General features: G+C 40.2%; 1 annotated feature.

Moving 5' to 3' along the window:
* Positions 8213–8272: a silencer, noted in NCBI's record as "silent region_5683". NCBI's record gives its function as "represses an Ori minimal core promoter by ATAC-STARR-seq in GM12878 lymphoblastoid cells {active_cell/tissue: GM12878}" and the evidence as "EXISTENCE:reporter gene assay evidence [ECO:0000049][PMID:35858748]".

Below are 16508 nucleotides of genomic sequence, written 5' to 3' on the forward strand. Positions count from 1 at the left end.
AAATACAAAAATTAATAAGGAAGCAGTGTTTGCTGAGTGAAATAAGTCGGGGCATTTAGAGACCTGGGTTAAGAATCTTGACTCTTAAACTCTCAAACTTTGTGATATAGGGCCAGGAATTTGACTTTTCTTCAACCTTGGTTTATTCCTCTTATAAAAAGTGAATAATGATGTATATCTCGTAGTGTTATTATGAGAGTTAAAATGATGATAAATATAACATCTAGCACCTATGCACTCAATAACAACTATTCTAATATGGTTGAGTTGGCAACAAAAACTGTTACTGAGAATCCATGAAATTTTATTAAGAAGTGAATTTTATGGTTCAGTAATAATTTCCAAAATAATTCATTCAGTAATTTATTTACAAAATCTTTATTGAGTCAGTATTATGTACTAGCAAATGTGCTGGGGATATGGGACCAGGCACAGTCTCTAGACTGATGGGGCTTACAGTCTAGTGGGTAAGTTAGAATAGAGAAGAAGGAAAGGGAAATAATGGTGTCAAGACTTTTACCTGAAAAGGTTGAATTCTTTTCTATTTGACTAAGAAACGCATCTACTGAGAACACCTATTTTGTAGGCAAGCTGAACGGTTAGATACCCAAGTTATGTTATTACTGTGTAACTAACCATCCCAAAACTTAGTGGCTTATAACAAACATTTTGCATTATCTCTCATGGTTCTAGGGGTTGATGGGGACTCACTCAGCTGGGCTGTCCTCAGGATTTCTCACACACTTGCAGGCAAGTGGTGGCTGGGGCTAGAGTCATTGGAAGTCTCTGCTGGGTTCACTGACATGGCTTGCATGTGCTGCTTGCTGCTGGCTGGGAGCATGGGTGGGGCTGTCAACCAAGATGCCCGCATGAATCTTGGGCTTCTCACAACACAATGAGTGTTCCAAGAATGGGCGCATTCAGAGAGACCTAGGTGGAAGCATCATGGATTATTATGACCTTCAGCTTTGGAAACCACAGCATCTCACTTCTATCACTTAACACATTAACAGATGGCCCCAGATTGAAGGGGTAAGGGATACCCAGGGCATGGATTCAAAGAGGGGTAGTTCACTGGGGAGGGAGCGGTAGGTATCCTTGGATCTGTGGAGATGAGCTACCACAGAAATCCTGCAGATAGCTGGAATAGTGGCTGTGGAGTAGGGATGAGTGATTGTGAGACAGGATTCAGATTTGGAAGACATCAGGGTAGAGGTTACAGTTAGAGCAAATGGAAGACCAGTTTTAGAGGAGTGGAGACTCTTAAAGTTATTCAATGGAAGAAAAAACTGAACCAAAAATAGGTCTCGTAGGGGAAGAATGAAGAAAGTCTAAACTCAGGGGTGTTAATGTAGGGAAGTGTTTCATCAAGAAGCATGCTATCAAATTTAAATATCTCAGAGTCTGAGAAGAAAGAGATCTAGAAATGTATGTGATTTAACAAAAAGGAGATCAATGAGTCAGAGCATAGTATAATATGTGCTAGGAGTTTGAGTTTATAGTATAAGATTATGAGTTAGATTGTTCCAGAAGGACTTCATGAATGGAAGGAGGCCTTAGCTGGCATTTGAAGGGTGTATCTGGGAATACATCCCGGAAAATACATTGTGGTTGTGTGTTTGGGCTGGTTGCATAGGGAGCCAACCGTTCACCAAACCCGTCCTCATCTTGCTGGATATCCCACTGGACTACATTAGATGTTATATGACTCTGAGCTCTGATATGTGCCTATAACAACCGTCCACGTGTGATTCTCCATGTTCTCTCTCCTTTTGAAGTGACCCTAGAAGTCATATGTTAAGGATGGCAGAGCTGAAAGATGGAAGAATCCTGAATCCCTGAACCACCCATTGTAGGAGAGCCACCTGCCAAGTAGGAACACCTGTTTTGGGTTTTAAGTAAGCAATAAATAAACTTTTGTATTAAGCCACTGACAGTTTGGTTAATCTGTTCCAATGACTAGCAATAGCTAGAAGTGACAGACTCCTTTAAAGGGCAAGAAACAGACTGATGAGGCTAGGGAGGAGGGCTGGGAATGGGAATAATTGGAGAAAAAATGGAAAAAGTTGGTGGTGGCCAGATTATGGAGGACTTCTTACAACATTACCTCTTACATTTGTATTTTCAAATTTGAAAAACATGTCATATTATCTTTTTCTTACATAGCCTTATGAGGCAGATATTAATATTACATTTTAAAGATGATGAAATTTAGGCTTAAAGCCAGTGATTGTATCCTAAAGTTATGCAAGCACAGAGCTAAGGTTTGAATGTGGGTTGACAGAGTTGGAGGCTACTACTCTCTCCAGTAAATGACAACTAACTCGTATGGCCAATTGAAAGTTGGAAAGTACTACAAACAGTCTATGTGTTCAAGGCAGAGTCTAAGGATTATTATTTTGGTAGCAGCTTTTAGGATGAATGAGCACTGATTCTAATTAATGGGCTTTGGAGGCAGCAAGGAGCAAAGTGATAAGCTTGAATTAAGGTGGTGGCAGATGAGAAGGAAAGGAAGGGTCAAAGTAAAGTTTTATGAAGAAAAAATTTACAGGGACTGGATCCTGGGTGTGAGATACAAGAGTGAGGCAGGATTAGATGCTACCTACTGTTAAGGTTCAAGTATGTCTGGGCATGTTTAGCAAAATGGTAGGGAAGGCCCCAGAAGAGTTAATTTGCATGGGGACTTCATTTATCTTGAAAAGAGGACTTTTGTACCTGTCTGGGGGAATGGAAGAGAGGTGCTTATTCAATTCCCAGGGCCCTGGTCTAGATCTGAGACAGGCAGAGAGAGGCACAGAAGGCAAAAGCAGATGAAAATGGTTTCATAAAAGATTTTGTGAAATGTGGGGCAAAAGACTGTTTCGGAGCTCAAGGAACAAACATGTTATGACATGGTGCTGGAATAACAGGCCCTCTAGCCTTTTTCTCATAGGACCTGCATGGCTCTGACCCAATGCGCCTTGAAGGGGATGTGCATTTTTTTTTGGAATCGAGTGCACTCTGCACATTTGGGAGCCTGGGGATAGCACAGGGGCAAGAATGGCATTTGGGAATTGTATCCCTCAGAAGGTGCCAGTGGGGCAGCAGCACCTGTGCTCCTATGGAGTAAGCAGGCAAGGGCTTCTCATCTGCATAAGTGGGACACTCACAGGGGGCTCAGGAACACCTGGTTGGGGTGAGGGGCCTTGCAGCACGTGGGGACAATGGGTGAGCAAAATTTGAATTATTGCTATTGATGTAGTTATTTGCCTCTAACAATTGGTGAGCCCTGGGGAAATTCTGGATCCCACTGGGACCCATGCTGAGAATATTAATGTATAATTTAATGAGGAGACACCTTCCACACACAAGATGGGATCATTTAAGGATTGAGACCTGAACAACAAAAACCGGCTTATTTATACAAATGTAACCTAATCCTAACCCTTTTTAAGCTTCTTATTGTGCTCTTTTACTTGATGGGACTTGGTCTGGCAGCATCCTTGGTGTTTAAGAGGTTATATTTTCAGAAAAAAAGAATTTTTTTTTTACTTGAATGTTTCAAAATGCTTTCATGGTATGTGAAGAAAGCCACTTGATTAAAGTGTCTGTAGTTTACATTAAATCCCTTCTTTCCAAAGAATGTAAAGTTCTGGCACAAACTAAAAGGGTTAAACTACACCTGGCCCTTTCACTGTGTCATTGCGAATATTGTGAGTAAAGTCCAAAATATGAGTCTTCATGTGAATATTTGGTAATTTCTCCCTGTCCCGCCCCTGCACCCGGCACCCCGCCCCATGCATCTCACGCTGTAAATATGTTACTCATTTATCAAGTACTGTGTGGTGGGCAAGCAAATTGGCACTTTTGACACCCCCTCCAGTAGTAGAGGGAGAAAACCTGTAGAGACTAAACCTTTGCTCATTCATCTGTTCATTGTACCACCCTTCTCTTACAAAACCCACTAACTAGAAGCCTCCTGGTATTGGTTCTGCGTCTGTTTGCTCCTTCTTCCGTGTTTTTGAGATGCAGAGCTGCCTGTTTAAACACACAAAACCCATCCACACGTTGAGTTTAGATGAGACCATCCTAAGCCACAGGCTATTATTTTTCCTGCTTTGAGTATCACTACCTCACTCGCATTTGTTATCCTTAAAGAAATGGCTCCCAAGGGCGAGGGAGCAGCACTGTATCTTCCTTCCCCCCTTCTCAGCAGCCCTGCTTATTTGATAGATTGCTCCATTAAAACAAATCTATTTACTTAAAGACGGACTGCCAGACTTCCATAAACACTTGTGAGAGAAAGACAGTCCGGTTCGTTGTTCTCTGCCCAGCCATTATCCACGGTGTTTCAAGCCTTCTGTATTTTGGCCTGGAGGACAGAGACTTGGAGGTCGGTGTGGCCACATTTTCTGCAGGAGCTGTTTCTGGCACTTCGGGTGTTGCTCATTCCCTTAGCTGCAGCAGGGGAGCCAGTGTCACTTGTAGGCAAGAATACAAAGCAAACTGAAATGCTAAAGAAATAAGTTGGCAGAGCTTGTTCCACAGGCCCAATCCAACAACAACCTAGTAACCATTTAACTTTTGCCCATTTGTTTTATTTGTTGCATCATATGCTTTAAGGCAAAGTTAGCACAAACAACTCATTCATCCAGTATTTATTGAATGTCTATGATGTGCCAGGTACATCATAGGCATTGAGGCAATGAGGATATAGCATCGAACTAAATCAGACAATAATCACTGCTCTTCTGAAGCAAACATTCTAGTGGGAAAAGAAAACAATTATTAATATTGTATATTAAGTGAAAATTATGCAGTTAAACATAAAATTATAGGGCTTCACGTATTTCATAAATCTATTTGAAATAACATACAGTGTCATATCACTTTACAGTTTGTAAATAGTTTTTTATATATCAGGTGAAATGAAGGAGGTACTTTCATATGTTTCAACTTTGTTATCATTTCAGTAGCTCTGTGAGGTGGGCATTGTTTACCTTGTTTACTAATGGTGAAGCTAAGCTCAGAGTTGGTTGTATAAGCCCAGCTTTGCAGAGTCACCTCAAGCTCAGACACTCTGCCAGAGAAACTAGAACAAAACCTCAAACCATGGGTCCAATGAGCTGTATGTTTTTGAAATAATACTGGTAAAAATGTAAAGACTTTTACAAGGTTAATAGCGGTCTGACAGTCATGTGGAGGGAGACTCAAGGAGATTCATAAATTATGCTACTGTCACTTGCATCCGTCCATACTTTGCCTCTTAGGGTGTTACATACTCAAGAAATCTCCGGGAGGGGTGTGTGGTACAAGCAGTGGGAAACTAAGCGCCACACTCTGCTGCTTTGCAGTGAGATGCTGGAAAAAGACTACTGCATTTAGAGTTTCCATACCTGAGTCTCAGTTGAATCTGTGATGTGGGCTGGAGATTCCAATTATTGGGAATGTATCTGGGGCATTCTGGGGCCCATGAACTCCAGAAACAAAAAACCCCAAACTCCCTTCAGAGGCAAAGTCCTGCACTGAGGAGAAACTGCTGGGAATAGAATCCAACCTGACAATAGGAATAACAACACCAACAGAATGAGAAATTCCGGTGAGAATGGGAGAGGGAGCAGAGAAGGAACATCTCAGAAAGCCAGGATGTATTTATCTCCTTAAAAACAACAAAAGAGGTAATTCTAGAGCTATGGGCCTAGAAAAGTGATCTAGACACATCCTTCTCTCCTAAAAGTGGAGAAAAACTCATCTTTCTGAAAAATGAGCAACAGAAAAAGGATCGTGGGTGAATCGCATACAAAGTTATGCAAAAAGGAAAATAAAAAGCAGAAAATGTCTCTATTCAATGAAGAATTTAGAGAAATATGCCGAAATAGAAGACAATTATAACCAGATGTTTCAAAATAAGCTAAAAAATTTAAGAAAGTGATAGAAACTATGAAAGAACAACAGAAATAAGAATTAGAAAAAACTCGGAAATGAGAATTGGGCAAAAGGATCATTTCAATGACAACAGAATTTATAAAAAAAAAAAAACTTTTTAAAAAATTAGAAACGATAAAACTGGGAAGAAAGTAAAAGTTAATTAACACAATGAATATTGTCTTAAATAGAAGAGGGAAAAAAGAAAAAAATTTTAAAAATCAAGAAATGAAGGAAAGAAAGTGTTTGAGAGAAAGTGATACATAAAAGAACAAAGAACATCCAATATACATGCTATAGGAACCCCCAAAGGAGAAAAGCAAATAAATGAAGCACAAGAAATACTAAAATCTGTAATATGAGGAAACTTTCCTGAAATAAAAAAATGAAGTCAGGTCTCATATTAAAAGGAATGACTTGGGAAAACTGTTCCCCAGAAAACCAACACCAAGACATATTCTAGTAAACATTGGACCTAAAAGAGACAGAGAAAAAAGACACTTTGGGTATCCAGGCAAGAGGACAATTCACGTGTTAGGGAAAATAAATAAAATTTTCATCAGACCATCCAAGAGCAGTATGTTAGCCCGAGAACAACAGAATAATAATTACAATACTTAAGAAAATGTCAGCTAAGGAGTTTATATCCAGCCAAACTTACCTTCACATACACAGTTCAGACATGCTTTATGACCATGCCCAAACTTAGGAAGTGGCAATCCTATGAGTTCTTCCTGAGAAATCTACAAGAGCCTGTGACTTAGACAACCCTGATTACTGTCAAGGTGTTGGTGGAAGGGCTGGTGGGCCTTGCTGGTGGAAATGCTCCACTAAAAGGAGGAAGCAAACTAGGAGAAGGAAGGATGGTATTCAGGATGTATGGGATCCAATGCAAAACAGGTGAAAGCAAGAATAATCTGAAAGATGCCTCTATAGAAAACTGTCTTCAATAGAAGCATGTTGGAGGGTATGGGAAACTTAGTCAGATGTTTAAACAAAGCATATGAAAAAAATAAGACAATTATTAATTCCAGGACAGACAAAAAGTTGTATAAGAAATTAAATATAATCATAGTATATTACCTGACTTAATGAATAATATGTACATAGTCAAAATACAGAAACTGAATATAGATATGACTCCAGATATATTAATAAGACAAATTATGTTTAGAGAATATTGAAGGGGAAAAGATAGTATAATTGAACTGTTATCCTAATCCACTGTAGTAAAAATCAATAGCTAATGAATCAAGTAATAGGATTATATTGTATATATTATTCAGGAATATGGAGGCAAAAAATGGAGGAAAAACAGTAAAAGAGTTTGAAGACATTGTTTCTGGGGGAAAAAGATAAGGAATGTAAGAGGGATAAGGGACTGTTGTTTTGGTTATAAGACTTTTAGTCCAATCTGATTTTTTTAGACAGGGTCTAGCTCTGTCGCCCAGGCTGGAGTGCAGTGGCATGATCTTGGCTCACTGCAACCCCCGCCTCCCGGGTTCAAGTGATTCTCCTGCCTCAGCCTCCTGAGTAGCTGGGATTACAGGCACACACCACCACGCCTGGCTAATTTTTGTACTTTTAGTAGAGATGTGGTTTCACCATGTTGGCCAGGCTGGTCTCAAATTTCTGGCCTCAAGTGATCCACCCGCCTCGTCCTCCCAAAGTGCTGTTATTACGGGCGTGAGCCACCGCACCGGGCCCCTCCCTATCTGACTTTTTGTCCGAAGTGCACGTATTCTTTGATAACAAATGAAAATGATAATTAAAATAGAAAAGCCTCCACTGAGCCCTGACTTTCAAACAAAACCAACTCCCTGCCCATCACATTCCCAAAGGCCTCACCCTGGCAGGTGACCAGCCGTCTCTCCATGGTCTCTTCCAGATTCCTCGAGGTCTGAACAAGAACCACTGACGCAGAACGTGAAAACTAGAAGCGTTCATTAGCGACCACCCTTTGTTTGACTGATGAGGAAATCAAGGCTGATGGTGAGTGGCTGGCCCCAATGTACTGCTCTCTTGTTGTGTTTGACTTAGATCTTTGGTCTCCTGCCCGGGATTGGTGTTCTTTCTGCTGTCACAAAGTGCTCCCTCCAGTGAGTGTATTCGATCCATGTGAACATCTCCCTTCAGGCCGCTGGTGGTCTCAGCGCCTGCTTTTCCCCTGTCCTCTTAGGCATGCTCTGATGTGAACTATTTTGGAGCTGCCTTTGGGCTGAGTTTGGCCGGATCCAGTGCACTTTAACCTGCCCTCTGCTGCCCTCTGCTGGCGACATCTGGGCTTTGCTGTTCACCCTTTTGGGCGTGGCCCCACCACTTCCTTTCTGTGAAGAACATTCTTTGCGTCTGGGCATGATTGTGCCCTCTGACCTGTGCCAATCCATGTTGACTAGTCCCGTCTGTTACCTGGGAGCTTGTTAGGAATGCAGAACCCTAGGCCCCACTCTATATTTATTGAATCAGAATCTGCATTTTAACTAGATCCCAAGTGATTCATATGCACATTAAAGTTTGAGAAGCACTGTTCTGGGTCAAACTCAGCTACATTCAGGAAACAGTCGAGATCAATCTTTTCTACTCAGTAATTATCTTGGATCACTCTAATACCTGTTCCAGTTCTGTCACTTGGTAATGATGATTTCTGGTCCAGATGCTTTTTTCTGCCTGGACGGCTGTCTGCAATAACAGAGAACAGGAAGTGCCATACTTGGAATTCTAAATTTTAAAAATCCACTAAATTAAAAGCTGAGATGGCAGGAAGGCATAGCACGTGTATTGTGCTACAATATTTCAATCCTCCTGCATCTTTTCCCCTTTACCTCCCACAATTAATAGGAATGTCATTTTGGCTTTGAAGATAGACTAAACTTATCCTATAAGTTTAAAAAAGATCTATTTTGGTTTTGGAGGGTCTTATTTTGTTGTGACATGGTCTTGCTCTGTCACCCAGGCATGTGCCACCACATCCAGATAAATTTTAAATTTTTAGTAGAGATGTGGTCTCCTCTCCCAATGTTGCTCAGGCTGACCTTGAACCCCTGCGCTCAAGTGATCCTCCCGCTTCAGCCTCCCAAAGTGTTGGGATTCCAGGCATGAGCCACAGCACCCAGTCTCTATTTTGTTTATAAATTATAAAATCTTTTTATATAACTGCACTGGGTATTTGGGAGACATTAGTCTGCAGGGTTTTCAGAATGCTAGAAACACAACATGTTACTTAATGAAGTATTCCCCCATGTTCTCTTGCACAACTTCATTCATTCTCAGGCATTTGACTGTCAAAGGTTTACTAAACACCCACCATAGACCAGACATGTGTTTGGTTCTGAGAATTCAGGGTAGACGTGGTTCCTACTTTCATTGATATTCCAGTCTAATGTGTAAGACAGCGATTAAGCAAATTATGATTTCATAACAACTGTATCAAGAGAAACTGATGAAAGTTTAAATTGGCTTCCATGAAAAAATGACATTTAAATGGAGACTTAAAGGATATTGGAGTTGGTGAGGGGTGAGTGGGAAAGAGCAATTTAAGTCAAGAAAGTCCTGAGAGGAGCAGGAGCTGAGTGGGAGCACCAGAAAAAGGAGTGTGGCCGAGCGCAAGCTGGAGACAGTCTGTGAGGGACATTGAGGCCAAATGGGGCAGGGTTTAGTGGCACCTGGAAGTTAGCTGGTGGTTGATCTTATTGTAAGAACAATGGGAGCCACTGGAGAGTTAAACACAGGGAAAATGATGTGATAGAATTTTTTCATTCTCACCAAACTTGCTATTGTTCATGCAGGTTGAAGCTGACCCTAAGTCTCTGGGCCATGGTATCACTTATGGGCATGCCAGACTTTGGGTTGAGTGTAGGCTCTGAAACCATATCCCCCTGTTCCCAGCCGACCAGAAAAGACAACTAATTCTCTTCCTTCTGCATGCCCCAAGAACACAGAACTGTAGACTGTGGCTACCCATGTTCCATCTACTTCCTGAAAGAGGTCCTCCCCTCCACTCTCTGCCATCCAGCCCCCTCTTGCTCCAAAACTTTAGTAAATGGGTTTAATGTAGTCTGAAGTTTTTCTACAGAGTATATTTATCACCATAGCAAATGATGCTCATTCTTTGAAAACAAGCCTCTGGTGTATAAACTATAAGGATAGTTTTATCCAGGCATAAAGCAGAGAGAGTGATACCAGTTCATGCCTGGATAGAATTATTGGAAAGGGGAGTTCAAAGACAGAATTCTGCTTTGACAAGAAGAATTTCAAAATATGACTTTGCCCCCCAAAAATTTTACTTCAGAAGGGGGAACTCACACTATTTGAGAAGGAGTAGGCAGGTTGTTTAGAAACTCTGAAAATGGATTAAGTGGGCATGTTTGCTTTTATGGCTTACAGCAGAGTAGAAGAAAAATAACACTAATCTATTATTAGAAATGCAATTTGCTTTTAAATCAATTATGCAGAGACTGTGAGAAAGAGGAGTCAAAATAAACTTAGTATAAGTCAGGAAGATTTTACTCTGTAACTAGGTTTTGTTTTTTTGGGTTCTATATTTGGCTATTACTGAAAAATTGTTTATTTAGTGAAATACATTAAAGTTTTCTTAACACGCATAACTACTTTTTACATAATTAGCCCTTCTGTAGCAGTATTTCACATCTGTCTTTGCTATAAGTCCCAAGGGCAGCTGAACCCAGGCTGCAATGGGACACATTGACTGGCCACCTGAGCTTGTGGCTTGGTCTAGCAAACAGGGTCCCCAGAGATATCCCAAGAAGTCTAGAGGACCAGTCTCAGAAAACAAACCAGTGTTGGTGTGTGTTTTGTAAAAAAGTTTCTCCAAACTTACATTTAGCACTTCTCTGATCACAGCACTACCTATTGCTTCGGATTGAAGCCAAGAATCTGCTTTTGCAATTTTAGTCTGCTTCCAATATGTCAAAAGATGCTGTAAAATTCTCAGACCTGGCTGATCATATACTGATTTATACATTTCTATTTCCACCTACATAAGCACATGCCATATAACTCACCAGAGGCTTCAGGAATAAAATCACACAATGACAGGTAGTAACTCTAAGAATCCTGCACAATCAGTGAGTGTCCGAGCTCTTCTAGAACTCTCGGTGAGCCATCAATAGAGCAGGTGCAGTTGGAGGATGATTTATTCTTCAACTGAAGTCGATTCAAGTCACTTTCTAGGGAAAAAAAGTGTTGCTTCTTAGGGAGCTGTCATTTCTCTCTACATTTCCTTTTCACTCACCAATCTTGCTTGAACCAGGCTCCCTTTTAACAGTGAATGTGGAAGTAAGAATGCAGAACCCCATTCTGAGGAACAAACAGCATTTAACAGGTGAACTTGTAGAAGGAAGACCAGTATCTGGGCACCATCAAACTTAGTAGGGCATTTCTAGTGGAACAGAAATGTTTTCTTTGCGGACAGATATCTAAGGGCTCTCACACTTTCATTTCTTGGGAAGATAATAAATGCAGTAAAATATGTTGTTTGCTTTAGATATTCTGGATGCCTTTTCCTGTGGGATTTCTTCATGTGCCTTTTTTGTGCTGTTTTGTGTTTCTGTGAACAAGAAAGAAATGTGTTTCTCTTATGGCTAGTGGCAAAAGTAAGCCAGGCTGGAGGTTTTTTCATTTACTGTAAACTGTAACTTCCTTACAGCAAGGTGCTTAGTATTGGGGGATGGAGTTTACAGAATGAATACAGTTGAGTGAGGTTAGAAAGAAAATCAGAGACAAAGAAAGTGGCTATATTGAGGATGTTTAAAATGTTCTATTTTCTGCAGAGCCACGTATAACAAACTGACCTCTGAGAGCCATATTCACAAGCTCATTAAAAGCCCAGAGCTAGAAAAAACCTCCAGATGTATGGCCTATTTCTCACTCCATCCTTGCCATGGTTGGGCTTAGGAACTTTGACTACCCTGGTGAAGAAGGAGAGAAAAAGAAGTGGGAGGGAGAGAATCATTTCAAATGAAAGGTTTAAATTTGAAGTGACTGGGTAAACTTAAGTGAAAATAAAGACTCTAAAGCTAAGCTAACATCGGTTTTGGAAACATAAAGCAGTGTAAATTTTTGCACATCCCACTCTCAGTACAGAATCTCTGAAACTTAAATCTGTTCAGGCACCAAGCAGAGCCCAGAGCAGTATTGTACGGTAGTTCTTCCCAAGAGCACTTCCGTGCATAGAACTTACAAGCCATCCTACTGAGTTTCCCAAAACGAAATCATCACTGGATGTTCCTTTGATACAAAAAAAAAATAATAATAATAATAAAAAAAAGAAGAAAGAGGAGGAGGAGGAGAAGGAGGAGGAGGAAGAGAAGAAGAAGTCATCATTCTTTTTCTGGCATTGGCCAGTTTTGTAATGTTAAAATTTGATATTTTTAAATGTATACAACATGCCTGGTCCTGTGTGCCTCTGGGGTAAAGATAAAAATATGGTACAGTCTTGCCCATGAAGACCTGACATTCTAGTCAGAGACATTAGATATATGCATGATGAATACATGATTAAGGAATAGGACAGCGTATCATGAAGTGATCATTGGGTAAAACTGAATAACAATGACATTTATTGCACACTTGCTATGCAACAGCTTCTGTATTAGTCACTCTATGTCTATTAACTCTTTTACCGTGACAACAATCCTGTGGGGTAGGGGTGATTATTATCCCCATTTTACAGAAGAGAAAGTGGAGACACGGAAAGTGAGTGCCATCTTGGGGCACTATGTCTTTGAACTAGTGTTCAAACCTGGCCTGAGATTTGCTGCCTCCCAGAGTTAAAAGGAGAGAGGAGAGCATGGGTCAAAGTTATTCGAGTGGCTTCTTAGGAGAAGCAGAGTTGGGCTGGGTCCAGAAATAAGAGTAGGCAGTTGTGAATTGCTAGAAGTGGAGGTTGGAAGGCCTTCCAGGTAGGAGAACAGCATGAACACAGGAGGGCTCCAGGCAGGATGAGTGGAAGGCTACTAAAGAGAAACTCTGACATGGAGGCCAGTGTGTTCCAGTGGAAAGAGAATAGGCTCCAGGGTTATGCCCATCTTAAGTTCCAGCCCAGTCACTTACTTGCTTCAACTTCCCTGAGCTTAAGTTTCTTCATCTATATATTGGAAGCAAATTAATAACCTCATCACAGAGTTGTGAGTAGTCAAGATATGATTCATATCATCTCTTAGCACAGAAACTATGACAATGTCGGTGCCCAATAAAAGGAAGCTATTATATTATTCTAAAAGATATGTTAGGAGAAGTGGGAAACTCATGCTGAACAGGGAGATGTGACCAGATTGTGGAAGGTCTTGTAAATCAGGTGGCAGTGAATAGGCATGTCATGGTAGCCACTTGGGAAGAGAAGTCACAAACTTCAGGCCTTTTATGACTTATAAATGAACAATGATCAATATGGTGGGCTGTGACAAGGGTTTTTTTTTTTTGAATAAAATAGAGCTAGAATTGAAATTTCACAGTGCTTCAGGGATAATACATTATTGTTTTATGATTCTCTTGATTCAGTTTGTATGTATTTTTGTAGGTGTATTTTATACATGTATGTGCAGGGTAACTATAAAAATTACTTCTTACTGTAGGTTGAGGTGAAAAAAGTTTAAAAACCACTAATTTAGATGGTGTCCTCCTCTACCAATTCCAGATGTCCTGATAAATAACAACTTGCCTACAAGAGCCAGAGAAATTTTGAAATGCATGACATTGTAGTAAGCACAGATTTTAAACCACAGTAAAGTGAGACTGCATAGAAAGTTTTTCTTGACTTTATCCTGTGGGGCTGCAGTGGCACAAAATGGTGCCCTGACATAGTTTTGATGTTTGTCCCCCCACCAAATCTCATGTTGAGATGTGATTCCCAATGTTGGAGGTAGGGCCCAGTGGAAGATGTTTGGGTCATGGGAGCGGTTACCTCATGAATGGCTTGGTGCCCTCCCCATGGTAATGAGTTCACACAAGAGCTGGTTGTTAAAAAAAAAAAAAAAAAAAAAGAGACTGGGACCTGCCTCCTCTCTCTCTTGCTTGTTCTCTTGCCATGTGACACAACTGCTCCCCTTTTGCCTTCTGCTATGAGTAAAAGCTCCCTGACACTTCACCAGAAGCCGAGGGTATGCTGGTGCTATGCTTGTGCAGCCTGCAGAACTGTGAGCCAAATAAACTTCCTTTCTTTAGAAATTAGCCAGTCTCAGGTTTTCCTTTATAGCAATGCAAAATAGACTAATACATGCTCCATACCAAACAACCTGAGGCAAGTGGAGTTCCTTTCGAAGAGGCATTCTTTACTGCTTTTGATCTCCAGAAGCCATGTAGTGAAAGTTGTTCCAGATCTGGCTAATAGCTTTTATAAATCTTCCAGAAAATTTGTGTCAGTTCCCCTCCCTAAAGAAAATAAACAAACATATAGAAAATAATCATTGTTAAAGAAACACTATTTTAAATTTTGCTAAATGAACGGAATTTCCCCCAGTCAAATTGCCCTTTTTCCCCCAGAGCAACAATACCCTCTCAGCTAATCATTTGATATGTTGGGTCTGTAGAATTTCCTCATTCTTAGGAGGCAAGAGCTGGTTCTTCTTGAATTGTTACCAATGGCAATGATTAAAAAAAGGTACAACGTGGGAAGTTGGAAGGGGGCACATAAAAGGTGTTTAGTAATTACTGGTTAACTATGTCAAACCTAAAAATAATCCTGTCCAAAATTGTTCCATAAGTAAGATTCCTCCTTGTTCCCAACCAGAGAGAATATAATTCTGTGCCCTCGGTCCCCAGTATCCTCCAAGCCCCTCTTTCTCACTCCGTATGGAAGCAGGCACAATTCATAACTGATCTCTCTAAGGAATGCAGTAATTTTGACCCAGTTTCTTACTGGTGCATCCCCAAAGTTGTATTTCTATTCCTAAAGGCTGTCTTCTAACTCGTCTTTCCCTCCAGGAAGATGTTGTGATGTTTTTTTCCTCATTTCATATTCTTACCTTCCTGCTCTCCTTATTCATTGAAAACCATCCACTCTTTCCTTCGGTGCAGTGATTTGAGAAATTGCCCCCATACAATCTGTTTTTGTTTCATAACATGTTCTTCCCCAAGCTTTCTGGTAATTATTTTGACCTTGGATCTTTCTGGAGGAGTATGGATTCCTATATTTCCCATGCCTCACTTCCACCTACCAAGTTGATTCTGTTCTTCTTTTGCTGCAGGCCAGGAAATTATCTCTTGACAATCTTTCTTCTTTGCATTACAACCTATGTAAAGCATCCCTACTTCTAGAAAACCTTTCTACTTTCTGAATGCCAAATCTTGTTTCCCTTTCTTTTGAGATATTTTTCAATGCTATTTTTCAATACAGACAAAATATGGACTGGATTCCCAAGACCCCAACTACACCCAACAGTAGAAGGAGAGAAAAGGACAATAGGACATGAGATGCTAAATTCAGTACTGACCTGGATCCCAAGAACTTTGAACATTTTCAACTATTCTATTTAGCTATTTGACAGTACTTGTGAGTTTCTTTTTTTAAAATTTTTTTATTATTATTACACTTTTAAGTTTTAGGGTACATGTGCATAATGTGCAGGTTTGTTACATATGTATACATGTGCCATGTTGGTGTGCTGCACCCATTAACTCGTCATTTAACATTAGGTATATCTCCTAATGCTATCCCTCCCCCCCCCCCCACCCCACAACAGGCCCCAGACTGTGATGTTCCCCTTCCTGTGTCCATGTGTTCTCATTGTTCAATTCCCACCTATGAGTGAGAACATGTGGTGTTTGGTTTTTTGTCCTTGCGATAGTTTGCTGAGAATGATGGTTTCCAGTTTCATCCATGTCCCTACAAAGGACATGAACTCAACATTTTTTATGGCTGCATAGTATTCCATGGTGTATATGTGCCACATTTTCTTAACCCAGTCTATCGTTGTGTGAGTTTCTTGATTATGAAATTATTTTGTGTGAGTGCTGGTATAAGGTGAAATGTTATTTGGTGAACTAATCTTCTAACTTCTCTACACATTGATTTGTTGCATATTCAAAATATGTTTTATTAACAAATTTTATTTTTAGAGCAGTTTTCAGAGGAAAACAGAGTTTTCTATAATATCCCCCCTCACTTTCCTCATTATTAACATCCTGCAAAACAGTAAGATGTTTGTTATAATCTATGAACCTACATCAACACATCCTTATCATCTCAAATCTCTAGTTTACATTAGGGCCCACTCTTGGGTTGCACTTTCTATGGGTTTTGACAAATATATAATGACATCTATCCACCATTGTAGTATTGTACAGAATAGCTTCACTGCCCTGAAAATCTTTTGTGCTCCACTTACTCATCCCCTGCCCCACCTGCCTAGCAACCACTAATCTTTTTCCTTCTCCATAGTTTTGTTTTTCCCAGAATGTTATAATAGTTAAAATTGTACCGTATGTAGTCTTTTCAGATTGGCTTCTTTAGCTTAGCAACATGCATTTAAGTTTCTTCTTTGTCTTTTCATGGCTTGGTAGCTCATTTTTTTAACACTGAATAATATTCCTTTGTCTTGATGTACCACAATTTATTTATCCGTTCACCCACTGAAAAACATCTTGGT

The sequence above is a fragment of the Homo sapiens genome, chromosome 14 (assembly GCF_000001405.40).
Source record: "Homo sapiens chromosome 14, GRCh38.p14 Primary Assembly".
Taxonomy (NCBI): Eukaryota; Metazoa; Chordata; class Mammalia; order Primates; family Hominidae; genus Homo; species Homo sapiens.